At 36.0% G+C, this 16,377-nt stretch overlaps 1 long non-coding RNA gene across 1 annotated transcript in view, besides 1 other annotated feature; it reads left to right on the top strand.

Moving 5' to 3' along the window:
- The window catches only part of LOC105379297 (uncharacterized), a 132,858-nt gene that overhangs the window by 83,589 nt on the left and 32,892 nt on the right, over window positions 1-16,377 (top strand). The gene's annotated exons all lie outside the window — the stretch shown is intronic.
- Window positions 5,311-6,510: an enhancer, noted in NCBI's record as "P300/CBP strongly-dependent group 1 enhancer chr8:16683483-16684682 (GRCh37/hg19 assembly coordinates)". NCBI's record gives its function as "activates an origin of replication core promoter dependent on BRD2, BRD4, P300/CBP, MED14 and CDK7 cofactors, with strong dependence on P300/CBP, by STARR-seq in HCT116 cells {active_cell/tissue: HCT116}" and the evidence as "EXISTENCE:reporter gene assay evidence [ECO:0000049][PMID:35650434]".

The raw sequence follows: 16,377 nt of genomic DNA, 5'->3' as shown, positions 1-16,377 counted from the left end.
TAAACTTCAAAGCACCAGAAAAGATGTAAACAATTAAATTAAATCAATAATTAAAACTGAATAATGACATGTTACAAAACGTTAGCCATATTGTAGCCGAATGTGTAGTGAAACTGTGTGGTGCAGAGTAGAACCATGTGTGCGCATTGGCCCTATTTAAAATTGTGTAATTTGGAGACATTTCTTGAGAAATCAGCTGGGTGACTGCCAGTTTTGATCAAAGGTGAAGCTTCTGGCAGAATGCTATAAATCCCTAAGATCCTTGGGGTGATTACAGCGGTTATCTCAGCTGAAGAATTTGACAAATACACAGAGCATGTTGATACGATTAATGAAAGAGAAAGACTTCTAAAAAAGAAAGAATTTCAAGAGGATGAAACTTCTGAATGTTCATACTGATGGTTCTATTTCAGGGTCAAAACATGTATATAATAAATCCTCATTGGTGTCTCCTTTTTTTCAAAGATGCAAAATGTCATTCTCAGAAGAATTAGATTTTTGAAAAAATTCTAATTGTGGTAGGTAGTCTCTTTAATTCCTAACGGAATTCTATACCCTAAAAAAATATGAACCATCTGCGTGCCTGTTGATTTCCATTCAGCAACTGGACTGTGCAACTAGCCACACACAGGCTGCAGCACCATCTAGCTAAATTCCAAGGTAATTCATGACAGCTTTGCTTCTGGTCTGTAATTATTTCAGCTTTTCTTTTCATCTCTAATGATACTGTCTTATATAGATGTTTTTGTTTTCTCTTCTTAAACTCAGCCTTTGGGGATTTTAAAAATCCCCATTTAAATAGTATAATGTGGCAAATGAAGTCCTACTCCTATGAAGGAGAATTTATTAGTGATTTAAAGTCCGGACATGTTATAAAAGCATTTGGTTATATAATAAACATGAGGCTCTGATTTCCTTTGCGTTTTTGGGAGGCTGTTCCATGGAGTTGCTAAAATTCCAAGATCAGTCACCTCTACTTACACTTGAAATACATTTTTGATGGTCAAGACTAGGTTAGGGTAAGAGAGCATCTTTAAATAATACACATTTCCCCAACAGATCAACTCTGGCAGGCCTTGAATGCCAGGGTGAAGAGAGAACGCAGTAATAGAATGTAAGGTGAGTTGGGGGATGCTGGCGACAAAGGCAGGATCTGAGAGGCAGAAGATGGCTTTAAAAAGGAGAATCAGCCAGGCGTGGTGGCTCATGCCTATAATACCAGCAGTTTGGGAGGCCGAGGCAGGTGGATCACCTGAGGTTAGGAGTTCAAGACCAGCCTGGCCAACATGGTGAAACCCTGTCTCTACTAAAAATACAAAATTAGCTGGCTGTGGTGGTGCACGCCTGTACTCCCAGTTACTCGGGAGGCTGAGACAAGAGAATCACCTGAACCCTGGAGGCAGAGTTTGCAGTCAGCTGACACAGTGCCACTGCACTCCAGCCTGGGTGACAGAGGAAGATTGCATGTCAAAAACAAAACAAAACAAAACAAAAGCCAAGAGACTTTAAAAGGAGAGTGTAGAAAGAGGAGATGGAGACACTAAACAGAGAAATCAGACCAAGGGACAGACAAGGGTTGACCTGGGGGACTGAAAGAATAAGAATAAAGGAGGTCCAACAAAGAATTAAAAAAAAAAAAGGAGGGAATAATAGAAGAAAGCCGAGAATAGAGATTTGTTTTCACCTTCAGAGTTAACTTTAGTATGTGATACTACCTATTTGAAAACCAGGATCCATAAACTGGAACCAAATCAACACTGTTAATAGCTAACTAGCCCCACTAACATTCACTTTTTTGATCTTAACTTGATAGGTAGACATTTACACCAGCTGACAGGACATTTTGAAATATGAAGTTAGTGCTTTTATTTATTTATTTATTTTTTATTCATTGTCAGGGTCAGTTTACATCCCTGCAAAGAAAAAGTACTTAAAGAAAAGTGAGATTTGGTATGAAAAATGTGTTATGTATTACTAATCTTTCCTTTTCCATAGTTGGTGATGCTGAGATGTTCACGGGTGGCCAAAAGATGTTGAGAGATATTCATAGCTTCCTCCGTGGGAATAGATTGTTTTGATGTATGAAATCACATTTCAAATGGCTGTTCTTACGGACCTCTAAGTGCCTTACACAACAAGGCAATTCATAGCACACACATGCAAGGATTTTTGGCGGTTCCTTAATGTAAAAAAATATAAACGGCAGGGCGGGGCGGGGCACCTTTACAAATATATTTGAAAAAGAAACGATTTTTATTTTATTTTTATTTTTGAGACAGAATCTTATTCTGTCACTCAGACCGGAGTGCAGTGGCATGATCACGGTTCACTGCAGCCTCAACCTCTCGGGCTCACGTGATCCTCCCACCTCATCCTCCAGAGTAGCTGTGACTACAGGTACATGCCATCACAAATGGCTAATTAAAAAAAAAATTATTTATTTTTTTTGGTAGAGATGGGGTCTCACTGTGTTGCCCGGGCTGGTCTCAAACTCTTGGGCTAAAATGATCCTCCTACGTCAGTCTCTCAAAGTGCTAGGGTAAGAGGCATGAGCCATCACACCAGGCCAGAAATGTTATTTTAGAGATACTATGTAACCAAAATTTTTAGTGTTTTTAGATTTATGTAATAATAGCTTTATAAAAAATGTTTACCATTTTTCATTTAGTAATGTGTGTCACTGGCCGGGCACTGTCGCTCACGCCTGTAGTCCCAGCACTTTGGGAGGCCAAGGAGGACGGGTCACTTGAGGTCAGGAGTTCAAAACCAGCCTGGCCAACATGGGGAAACCCTGTCTCTACTAAAAATACAAAAAAAGTAGCCAGGCGCGGTGGTGGGCGACTGTAATCCCAACTACTTGGGAGGCTGAGGCAGGAGAATCGCTTGAACCTGGGAGATGGAGGTTGCAGTGAGCTGAGATCATGCCATTGCACTCCAGCCTGGGCGACAGAGCCAGACTCCATGTCTAAATAAATAAGTAAATAAATAAATAAATAAATAAATAAATAAAGTGTGTCAGCTACTTTTCTCTTTAATTCTTAGCAACATCTTTCTGGCAAGTACAGATCAACAGCTCCCTCCCCACTCTAACCGCTTTTGTTTTATACGATATGCAGCATGTGCAGAAGGTAGTTCGTCAATGACTCTCTTTACTACTTATCAATATTCTTTTGATATCTCTTTGATTCTCAGTTTACTGTATAACTCATCACACTGTCTATGTTTTGCTCAGGAAATACTCTATCCTGATTGCCATTTGTACTTCCAGATGGCTTTTTACTAATGTCTGTTCAGCTATGAACTGATAATTAAGATATGAACAGACAGTGAGTTAAGACTTAACTCCTTCCAGAAAACTTTTTGGAAACATACGTTGATAGAGATTATTCAAGGAAAGAAATCTCCAAGATCCCAAGGAATAAAAATGATACAATAGGCACTAGAACATACAGTTTTAGATGAAACCCCCTCCATCACTACAGATGTCTACTAGTAAGGCAGCCCTATTCAGGCCTTTTGCAGAATCTCTGTGCAAAGTTTAGCATCACCACATTCAAAGTCCTGCAGGGATTTCTAAGTAGGGCCTGTGCCATGTGGCCCAGAGAAGTGTAGACACTTGTAGTTCTGGCCCCTTCTGCCATGTCCCAGTTTCTCTTCTAGGTCCTTCACATGGATCATCTCATTTAATTCTCACAGCAATCATATCCAGTAGGTTTCATTATTATTTCCATTTTGCAGATGAGACAGAGGCATATTGAGGTCAAGTACTTTTTTCAAGGTATCTCTGATAGTAGGCAGAAAAACTGAAATTGGAACTCAGGGCATTTGATTCCAAAAAGTCATGGATTTACTACCAGATTATACATGTAATGTGGTCATTTAAATATAAAACAATAATGTTTCTTTAAAGTCATCTATGTTCTCTTTCAATGAATTGGAGTGAAGAATAGGCATTCTGGTCGTAGTAAGATTCTGTGCTCAACATTATATAACTATATATGTTATATATGTTAACTATATATGTTAACTTTATATATAACATATATATGTTATATATATATGTTAACTCTATATAAATATAAAGTTAAAAAGGCAAATTGCCTAAATTAGATTCCCTTAAAGATCTCTTCTAAATTGAATATACTCTTTTCAAGTTTCCATCTCTTTAGACAGGTTGACATGAAGCAAGTTTGTAGACACTGCTTTTTGACATGGAACTAATCTATTTTCAATTTAAATGAAGTTTTGAAATGGCAATAAACTTCCTAGAGCAGAAGACAAGACCAGAGCCTTTCTTCAGAATCAATGGACAAAGTCAAGGACAATACACTTTGTTATTATGTGAGATTGCAGTTCTTGAATTCTTAAATTTGTTTGAGTGTTTCATTAAGTGAGTTTTAGACTTTAAGGACTGTGATGGTTAATACTGTGTGTCAACTTGATTGGATTGAGAGCTACAAAGTATTCATCCTGGCTGTGTCTGTGAGGGTGTTGGCAAAAGAGATTAACATTTGAGTCCCTGGGCTGGGGAAGGCGGATCCACCCTTAATCTGGTGGGCACAATCTAATCAACTTCCAGCGAATATAAAGCAGCAGAAAAACGTGAAAAGGAGACACAGGCCTAGCCTCCCAGCCCACATCTTTCTCCTGTGCTGGATGCTTCCTGCCCTCATCATTGGACTCCATCTTCTTCAGTTTTGGGACTCAGACTGGCTCTCCTTGCTCCTTCAGCTTGCAGACAGCCTACTGTGGGACCTTGTGGTCATGTAAGTTAATACTTAATAAACTTCCCTATACATATATATATACACACACACATATACATGTATATATATACATATATATACATACATATATATTCCCTATACATATATATACATATGTGTGTGTATATATATATATATATGTATATATATGTCCTATTAGGTCTGTCCCTTTAAGAGAACCCTGACTAATACAAGGACATACTAATTTGGAGTGTTTCTAGAGTTTAGAAATGTGTGTTCCACATTTTTGACATTTTCATAATTCACTGTCAAAGATGAAAATGTGTGAGGTTGCAGGGGATTGCTATGTCTACCAGCATCCCATGCATTTGCGAGATGGGCTTAAATGCTCATAATGAAGACAGGCAGCTATCAGGTTGTTGATTTGTTGGAAGTGATAATTCACCTTAATTCAACACTGAACCTTTGTGTTCTTGGGCAAAGAAGAGATTTAGAGCCTGCTCTCCAATGACTTATTCTTGTGGTAAGGTGGAAACACACAAAACTCACTCTGATATCTTGCGGGTAAATGACGGCTGAGGAAACCAGTCGATGTGCTATGGGTATACGTGGCTGGGGAAGTTCACTTATGATTGAGAACATTTTTGGGGAATGTCTTAAGAGATGGAATTTGAACTGAATTTTAAAGGATATGCAGGACTTGAGAGAGAAGTATGGGAGGAAATATCATTGTGTAGCAGGAGTACTAGCTTTGTGATCAGATGGGCCAGGCTAAGAAGAGTGTACAAGTTCTTTACTCTGTGTGTGATACTGGGTAAGTTTCTTCACATTTTCCAACCTCACTTTTCTCATCTGAATAGAGGATAATAATATTCGCATCACAGAGTTTTTGTTTGAGATCCTGAAAGAAGAGTCTAATATAGTACTTGGGATGTCACAGGCATTTGGTAACCCATGTGAATACAAGTTGACACATTTTCGGTATCTTGCTGGAAAATTGCTACCTGAGAATCAGGATTGAATAATTTTTGCTCAGTCATTAGCTATTTCTCATTGCTCCTTAAGTGATTCTTATGTGGTTTGCCAATCTTCCTTTTGTTATCCAAAAAAGAGATCCTAGATTATTCTGGAAATTAAGGTTTTCAAGGAAAAGCAGGAGTTGAATAGGGGCAGAAAGGTTAACAGCAGATACTGTCCTTTTATAAGTTTTTTCACCTATTTCCTATGTAATGAAAAGCAAAATCTACTTGTCGAATGACTACTCTTTTATGTGGGAGGTAAATATTTTTATTTCTGAAGGAAGAGAGCAACTATTGACCTGTGAACGAGGGTAGTTACCTGAAAGTACAGAGAGTGGGCCGTGAGTCCCCTGCTGGGTAGTCTGTGGTGGCGTAAAATGATTAAATGGAGTGAGAATGCTTTCTTCCTTAGTCCTCACAGGCGGATCGAAGGAATCTTGCTTTTAAATGAAATGAGAACATCATTGAGAATGTCTGCCAGGAGATGAAGAGGTTTTGGTCTCTGAGTGGATCTAGCCAGAGTGAGGCCCAGGGAGTACTGACTCATCTATTTGAATGACTAGAAATGTGGCACGGTGCCCAGAAATTAGGTCAGAGCCCTTCGATGTGAAGGAGAGGGTTTTTAATGTGTGTGTGTGTGTATGTCTGTGTGTGTGTGTGTGCGTGTGTGTGTATCTGCAGATATACATATATCTGTATATGTATATTTCTAGGATCATTGCCTAACTATGGAAAGCAAATAGATTTTATAGGAATTTTCTCCTGGACTTAGATTTTTCAGTTGAGGAATCAATTCAGATAAAAAAATACATACTATTTTGTCTTAATAAACAATTTACTCTGAGTAATACTGGGTGACATCTCAGTTACTAGGATTCTGTCCAGATTTTGCTGCTTGAAAGCAGTATTTCTTTATTATTTGGTACACATTTAAAAAAATTTATAACTAACTTGAGTACCTCTTCCAAAGAATTGTTTTTGACAATATGGGAATTGGGAATAATTATATTAAACAAAATTTATCCTGGAAGTGTTCTATTAAGAACCTTCTTTAATCATTATTATATTAAAGATCCCTCTTATCAGAGAGTGATAGAGTATTTTAAGTGGCTTATGTTTAAAATTACTTCCCTTATAAAAGATTTTCAGATGTCAACTCTAATGTTTAATAGAGATATTTTCAAATATGTGACTTGTAAGTTAAGAAGTATCTGTCTTGGTTGAAAAGTAATTCTACTGAATTTGTGGTTCTCTCCAATCATTGACATCATGGGATCTTGGGTTTATTTTTGAGTCCTTTACCTAAAGGACTTGGAAAATAACAAGATTTTTTAAAGTTAATGTGAAGAAAAGAGAAACTAGGAGAGTCTTGGTGGAAGTTCTTACCAACAGTTTGCTTTTAGACACGAATCTTGACTTTATGACCTTATTGTGCCCCATTTTATCTGAAAAAAGAATCCTATGAAACCCACAAAAACTTCTTTAAAAAGATTTTAACATTTATTTAAAATAAAAATATAAGGAATCTGTTATAAAATACTTTGGTTCTGGAGTCAGTGAAGACAACCTTTTTCATTCACTATATGGTAATTGTTTTTTAAATGATGCCACGAATATATATATATAATATATATATTATATATATAATATATATTTTATATATATATATATATATATATAGTGATCTCGGATAAATTTGTTGTGATAATTGTCTGCCAATTTCTCCAAAAAATAAATGCTATTTTAAAATTTCTCCTGTTCAAATGTAGAAATTTAAGTGAACTCTGAAAGATAAGTAATTACATATTCCCTGTGAGACATGGAGGCTCTTTTTAAAAATTGCTTTAGTTTTAAAATAATATACAGAACTGAGTGATTCCTGAAACTTGACTTATTACATCAGATGTACCTTTCTTTTTAGAAAGAAAAATAATTGCCACCACAGATATACCACTCAAGAAAAAAAATTGAATTGTTCATCTTTTATTAATGCTGTAGACAAGGTGTGCTGAATGGTTCTTTTTAGCAGGCAGATATTTTTTAATTCATTATGAATATTTTTTCTTTTGGTTTTCATGAACTGTGAAGCATATATTCTATTATTCTATTCTGGAGTATGTTCTAGAATATATTAATAACCTTGTTTACTTGACAATGACCTTAAGAAACGATCTGTTTTTATTCCAGAGGCAAGAAGAAGGGAAAGCTACATTTAAAAATTATATTTCACCCAACTTGTAGATCTGATACAATGTTTTGATGGCTATATTTAGAATGTATGTATTATATATGTATATATTATATACGTAATATGTATATATGTGTGCATATATATATATGCACACACACACACCTGGAAATTTGTCTTAAGGTTTTCATCAGTGTAAAGTACACTTATTAAAGTCCTTGGAATATACATTGTGAAGAAAAGAGATTTTTAAAAATTCCTGCTTTTGTAGAATTAACATTTAAGCTGGAGAATACAAAACATAACAGATGTGTAAATTATGTAGTGTGGGGGAACGTGCTAAGTGCTGTGAAAGAAAGAACAAAGGAAAAATCGTGCAGGGTAAAGGGAGTGAAATTAAGATTCATTTTTAGGAGAACACATTTTTCTTTATTTTCTTAGACTGGTAGTTCCTTTGATAAATAAAAGACAGTAGCTCAAAATCTAGTGGTAGAAATGGTGCAAGTGTATAAAGGCAAAAAGCAATAATGCAAAAGAGAAACAATCTAAACTTGTTTCTATGGTTCTATGATTTTAATATGTTTATAAACATGAAATCATTCCTTTAATGGAAACTTTCTCATTTCTAAACCCTGTAACCCTGTATGTGAACACTGTGAGTACTGATAACTTCTTTCAAAATGAGGATATCAGATTATTCCTTATTCCTGTTGTGCACATTTAGCGGCAAATGTCTGCTAATTTCCAAATGTAGGTGAAGACTTAGATGTAGAGATATTCATTGCATCAGTGTTCTCAATAGCGAAAAACTGGAAACAGACTAGATGCCCATCAATGGAGGAAAGGATGTATAAACTATTGGAAATTATAGCCATATTTGGAAATTATCCAGCAGGTAAAATATTTAGCTATAATGATATGTATTGCCATGGAAAACTTTTGAGGACATAACACTAAGTTTTGAGAAAAACAAATTTCTAAGCGATATACTTAGTAAATTGATATTAAAATAATCCAAACAAATCAAAACTATATATTGGTATATACATATGTATATATGATTAATCAGTTTATTTTTACCAAGTCTTTACTCAATCTCTGTATTCGAATTGAAGATCCATATCCTTTTTGATGTGAAATGCTATCGTACAATAAATTCTTTGATATAATTTGGATCTGTATCCTCACTCAAATTTCATGTTCAATTGTCATCCCCAGTATTGGAGGTGGGGCTTGGCGGGAGGTGATATGGCTTGGCTGTGTCCTCTCCCAAATCTCGTCTTTACGTGTAGCTTCCATAATTCCCATGTATTGTGGGAGGGACCCAGTGGGAGATAACTGAATCATGGAAGTGGTTTCCCCCATACTGTTCTACTGGTAATGAATAAATCTCATGAGATCTCATGGTTTTATAAGGGAAAACCCCTTTCACTTGCTTCTCATTGTGTCTCTTGTCTGCTGCAATGCAAGATGTGCTTTTTGCCTTGCACCATGATTGTGAGGCCTCCCCAGCCACATGGAACTGTGAGTCCATTAAATCTCTTTTTCTTTCTAAATTACCCAGTCTTGGGTAGGTCTTTATCAGCAGCATGAAAACGGACTAATACGGAAGGTGATTGGATCATGGGGGCAGAATTCTCATGAATGGTCTAGCACCATCCCTTTGGTACTCTTCTCATGATAGCGAGTGAGTTACTGCGAAATCTGGTCAGTCAAAAGTGTGTAGCACCTTCCCCTTCTCTCCTCCCTCTACTCTCTCTTGCTCCTGCTTTCACCATGTGAAGCGCCTGCTCTTGCTTTGCCTTCTGCCATGAGTAAAACTCCCTGAGGCCTCTCTAGAAGCAGATGCCTCCATGCTTCCTGTATAAGCTTCATAACAGTGAACCAATTAAAGCTCTTTTCTTTATAAATTATGCAGTCTCAGGTATTTCTTTACAGGAAAGTGAGAATGGGTTAATACATTCCTATAACTATTTGTGTCTATAGCTCCCTGCCTTGTCTTGCCTGGCTTTACAACCTGTCTTGCCAAATGGAATGTTAGAGGGTATAGTGTAAGCAGAAGCTTCAAATATCCTTGTGTGTTTTGCCTGACCTCTTTCACTTGACTGTTTTCCATTAGAATATTCAAGTCCTGGTAGCTGATGGTCCCAGAGGCAAAGCAGTTAGAATGAACCTAAACTGATCTATAGCCTGAAGTGCAGCTACCTTAGCTGCCCCATAATATCTTGATCAATAAAAATGAATGTTCTAAGCCTCTGATTTTTTTTTTTTTTTAAGACGGAGTCTCACTCTGTCACCCAGGCTGGAGTGCAATGGCACAATCTCAGCTCACTGCAACCTCTGCCTCCCAGGTTCAAGCTATTATCTTGCCTCAGCCTCCTGAGGAGCTGGGACTGCAGGCACCCATCACCACGCCTGGCTAATTTTTGCATTTTTAGTAGAAATGGGGTTTCACCATGTTGGCCAGGCTGGTCACGAACTCCTGACCTCAAGTGATCCACCCACCTTGGCCTCCCAAAGTGCTGGGATTACAGGCATGAGCCACTGAGCCTGGCCAAAGCCTTTGATTTTTGAGGTTGGTTGTTATGAAGCATTATTGCAGCAATAGCTAAGTGACACAACATGTTTGTATGTGAGTGCTTAGAAAAAGATCAGGAACAATAGTTACCAGACTATAATCTTTATTTCTGAGAATTGAGATTGGCCGTAAACAGTTGCATTATTTCGTTTTCACGCTGCTGATAAAGACATACCCAGTGCAGCCATAAAAAATGATGAGTTCATGTCCTTTGTAGGGACATGGATGAAATTGGAAAGCATCATTCTCAGTAAACTATCGCAAGAACAAAAAACCAAACACCGCATATTCTCACTCATAGGTGGGAATTGAACAATGAGATCACATGGACACAGGAAGGGGAATATCACACTCTGGGGACTGTTGTGGGGTGGGGGGAGGGGGGAGGGATAGCATCGGGAGATATACCTAATGCTAGATGACGAGTTAGTGGGTGCAGCACACCAGCATGGCACATGTATACATATGTAACTAACCTGCACAATGTGCACATGTACCCTAAAACTTAAAGTACAGTAAAAAAAAAAAAAAAAAAAGACATACCCAAGACTGGAAAGAAAAATAGGTTTAATGGACTCACAGTTCCACGTGGCTTATTTTCCCTCTTTATTACCTGTTTTGTTCTTGACTTTGCTTTTTTCTGTCATTAGCATATCATAGAGAGATCTAGTTATTTTAGTACACGCACACCTTCTGCATTCTGTTTCTACAAGTGTCTAATATTCCATGGTGTAGAAGTACTTTATTCAGTCAGTCCAATATTTTTGGGAACTTGGATTATGTCTAGACTTTTTCTACTACAAACAATGCCCACAATGAAAAATCTTGCACATTTTATTCTACAAGTGTGCCATCATCTGCAAATAAAGTTTTATCTTTTCCAGTTTTTAAAAAGTTGTATTTTGTTTTAAATTGACACATAATTGTACATATTTATGGGGTAGAGGGTGATGTTTCTATACATGAATACATTATGTAGTGATCAAATCAGGGTAGTTAGCATACTCATGACCTCACAAATTTATCATTTCTTTGTGGTGAGAGCATTCAAAATTCTCTCTTCTAGCTATTTGGAAATACACAATACATTATTATTAACTATAGTTATCCTACTGTGCAATAGAACAACAGAATTTCCTTTGCTACTTTTAAGCACTAGCTTTTTTTCTCTTGCCCAGTTGTTTAGCTGAATACTTTTAATACAAAGTTAAATAGGAGAGTTGATAGTGGCCATCCTTAGTCTTGTTCTTCTTGTGTCTCTTGGTTAGGAAAGATGCTAGTGTTTGGGCTTTCTAACCTACAATCATGTACCAGGTAACATCTTTGCCACAAACAGTACAATGAAATTAAGTAACTAACAAGAGTTTAATGAAGAGAAAACATTTATAACAATGTAGGCAGGATTAAGGAACCAAAAAGGGTTTCCAGCACACATATTAAGGAAGTGCCTACTGAATGACTTTTATTACATATTTTAAAAATTAAGAATAGAGTTGAATTGATTAAATAACTTTTCAATATCCATGGAGATGATTATAGGTTTTTCTTTTTAGATCATGAACAGAATAACTTTATTAAGATAACTTACTGAATCTCTTAATATTGAGCCATCTTTCACAACTAAATTTAATGATTATGTCCAAAGTTTTTAAACTTCATACAAATGGAAAAATAAAATAGGTAAACAAATACACGTGACTTCTTTTGCTCAATGTTGTGAGATTTCATCCATTTTTATGTAACCATATATATGTATACCATGTAATATACTCTTTCATATTTTATTTTGCAAATATTCTATTTTATTCTACTGTTGGTGAATATTTGGGTTATTCTAGTTGTAGCTACTTAAAAATACTGCTGCTGTGAATATTCTTAGACATGTCTTTTGATGTACATAATGTACACATATCTATTTACCTAGGAATAGAATTGCTGGGTTTTTAGGTGTACTTATTTAATTTATTTTTTGGGAATTCCTAATGTATTCTGGATATGACTCCTTTGTCAGAAATATGTTTTAATTTTATTTTTCCAAATTATCGTTTATCTCTTCAAATACTTAATGATGTCTATTGACAAACAAAAATCTTTAGTTTTTATGTGGGTTAGTTAATCATTGTTTTCCAATATGATCAGTACTTCTTCCCCTGTTTATATATTTTTTAATCCAAAGTTCCTGAATAATTTTCTTGTGTTATTTTCTAGAACTGCACTGTTCAATACTGTACCCAGTAGCCTAGTGTAGCTATTTAAGCTTAAATATAAATTACAATAAATTGAAAATTCATTTCCTCATTTGTGCTAGTCATGTTTTCAGTACTCAGTAGTTACAAGTGGCTTGGTGGCAACCCTACTGGGCATTGCAAATAGGGAACATTTCTATTGGACAGCACTGTTGTAGAAGCTTTTGTCATTTACTGTTCACGTTTAGATCTACAATCCATCTGGAATTTTTGTGGTAGAACTGCAGCAATTAGCTTTTACTGTGGAACAAACCACCCCAAAACATAGTAGCTTAAAACAGCTATTTCATTTAGCTCACAATTCTGCGAGTGGCTGGGATGGCTGGGTTGGCTGGCATCTCTCCCACATGGTCTCTCATGCTATGTCAATAGGCTGGTCCAGGATCATCAGATGATGGTCTCAGGGTTTCCAGCAACAAGAGGGCAAGTCCTAATGCATGAGCGCTTTTCACAGCCCTGCGTATGTCACATTTCATATTGTCCCTTTGGCTAAAGAAGTCACGTATCCCTGCCTAGATTTAAGAGGATAAATAGACTTCACTTCTGATATGAGAAAAGGCGAAATTATGCCACAAAAGGGTATGCATAGAGGAATGGGAGGGATTTGTGGCCATTTTTGCAACATATTTTAGTGACCTATGGGTAAATATTATTTTTTTCTATATGCCTATACAATTGACCTGCCATATTTATTGAAAAGACCATTTATTCCCCCACTCAATTGCAAAGTTAACTTAACAAATAGCTTGTCTGGGACTGCTTCTGAAGACTTCATTCTGTTCCACTGGGTTATTTATCTACCTTTGAGTCGATAATAACTATTTTAATAATTAATGCTTCATAATTTATTTTGATACCTGACAGTGTAAGTCCTTTAGCCTTGTTGATTTTTCAAGAGGGTCTTAGCTATTCTTGGCCACTTGTATTTCCATGTAAATTTTAGAGTCCACCTGCCAATTTCCACAAAAAAAATCTGTTGAAATTTTTATTGGGATTTTATTGGATCTGTAGATCCATTTGGGATAATTTGCCTCTCTGAGTTTTCCCATCTATGAACAAGGTACATATCTCTGTTTATTTGGGATTCGTTTTATTTCTGTTAATGTTTTTTATTTTACTCAATAGAATTCTTATGTCTGTTCCATTATCTTTATTCTTAAGCAAATGAAGTTTTTTTTCTTTCATTCTTTTCTGTTTATGTTCGGAATGTTGTTACATTTTTTCATTAACTTTTTGAAAATGTTTTCTCCAGTGAGTTTTTATTATCTGCAGGAAAGTTACACCATTCTTTTTCATCACTTTCTTACTGAGTTTGACAAAACTCTCTCAATAAATAAAATATCAGATAAAAAATCGGTAAGGATACAGGAGATGTGAGTAATACAGAAAAAAATTGAACTAATGGATACTTACCCAAAATCTTCGTATGGAGGCAGAATATGTTCCTCTTATTCTATCTATATTTGAATAAGGTGAATTTTCCCACCTGGCAGCAGGTGGTTCTGGCAGTGTGGATATTTTGGGGGTGAAATGAAAGTGCGTCAGAGTGAATATCCTGGTGCTCCCTTCTCTATTTCAGCAAAGGTCTTAATAAATGGCCCCTCTCTGTTCTCACTTTTTCTCTGGCTTTCAGACCTTACATGAATACAGAAGAGTTTCTATCCCCAGCTCTGAGCTTTTCAGATCTCTTCACATTCTTTATTTCCAAAATATTGGACTCACCTTTAGAAGTTGGGTTTTGCTGAAGCTTTCAAGTGCAGGTACATCTGCTATCTCTTGTATTTTCTGAACTTACTTTTTGCTCACTTCTGGGTACTTTCTGGACATACTGTCTCTACCCTTTCATAATAATCATACTCTGTTCAATCTCAAAAGAGTCTTCTCACAGGTAGGGACTTCTCCTTTGGGTGGGAATATTTGATTAAAGTTTCTGGGGACTTCCTGTCCCTAGGCACTTTTACACTTTTGTTCTTTCTCAAAGCCTACCCCTGTGGGTTTTTTTTAGTCTAGTATTGCCTCTCTAGCACATTCATACTATTTGGAATAATACTAGAACTTCCTGTATTTTATTATATGCGTAGTGAGAATTAATCATATATTATTTCTACAACTGAAATAAGGAAAGAAGAAAAAATGCTTCATTTCTTAAGCTTTTGAAGAGGAAAGAAGACATGGTTATAAGTATCTGTAGGCTGGGGATGGTGTTGCATGCCTGTAATCCCAGCACTTTGGGAGGCTGAGGCTGGTGGATTTCTTGAGCCCAAGAGTTTGAGACCAGCCTGAGAAACATAGTGAAACCCTGTTTCTCCAAAATAAATAAATAAATAAATAAATATTACAAAACATTAGCCAGCGATGGTGGCTTGCGCTTTTGGTCCCAGCTACTATGGAGGCTGAGATAGGAGGATTGCCTTAGCCAGGGAGGTCAAGGCTGCAGGGAGCCATGATGGTGCCACTGCATTCCAGGCTGGGCAACAGAATGAGACCCTGTCTCAGAAAATAAATAAATAAAAAAAAATATGTGATCTGATACTTAGCCAAGTTGTTAAAAGAGCATTTGTATTATAAACTGATGGAAACATAAATTTGGTGTTTAATCACACATAATACAGACTCTCCCAATACAGGCTCTTGCTGCCAAGTAGTGGTGTTAACCAAATTTCTCCCAACCATTCCATTTACTCTGGAGACAGCTCTAAGTTGTTCTATTTTTAAAATCTCTTTAATTTAAAACCCATAGTTCTCTATTTCATTAACAGATTTTATCTTGATTTTCTCTTTAGTGCAGATCAAAGTAAATTTTGTTGTTTATCAAAATGAAACTCATACATTTTCTTTTATAGTGAAGTTTATGATTTTCTAGAGCATTGTGATATGATTTTGAGGCAAAAGTTTACAAATATTTTCTTTGGTTCAATTTCAAATTAATGAAATTTATAAATTGAGTTTTAAGCCATTTATGTTATTTTTCAGTGTGGAACCCAGATAGAAATTCAATGATTAACCTTGCTCTGACATAACTCCTTCAGAGATCAAAGAATAACTTGTTAAGCACTTAGAAAATACAACAGTTTTGTTAAAACCCATACAACCCTGAACTGTTTAGAATTTCCAGTTACCTGTCAGACTTTGAACTAGGGAAAAGGGACAAATTTAAAGGACTGAACAAAACACCTGTCTAACTTCTCTATTGACAATGATAAAACATTAATTCATAGATATCCTGCACATGAGTGTTTTACTCAAAATATTACAATGCAGGTTTCATGATAGTTTTGCAGAATATTTACATTATTGTAATGTTATTTTTTTGAAAACAAAATGATCTACATTGTCTCAAATAAAAATTGGTAAACACTGAGATCTGATCTTTTCTCCATATTATATATTCCTAGAGTGTCTTGTATACTGTTCCAGTACTTTACAGTTTAAATGATTTAATTATTTTGAAACAGTTTGTTTAATGTCTACTTTGTCCAGCTATGTCATTGGTTACACAGAAAAAGATTTCGTCTGTTTTTGTCAAAAACTATCTCCACTTCCTAGGACAGTGTCTAGCAGTCAGTGTCTATTTATTGGCTAACAAACATTGAGCTGGATAAAAGTGTGTTGAAGTCTT

This window comes from Homo sapiens, chromosome 8 (assembly GCF_000001405.40).
Source record: "Homo sapiens chromosome 8, GRCh38.p14 Primary Assembly".
Classification (NCBI taxonomy): Eukaryota; Metazoa; Chordata; class Mammalia; order Primates; family Hominidae; genus Homo; species Homo sapiens.
Note: the sequence above shows the minus strand (reverse complement) of the source record. Positions and strands in the feature narration are given on the sequence as shown.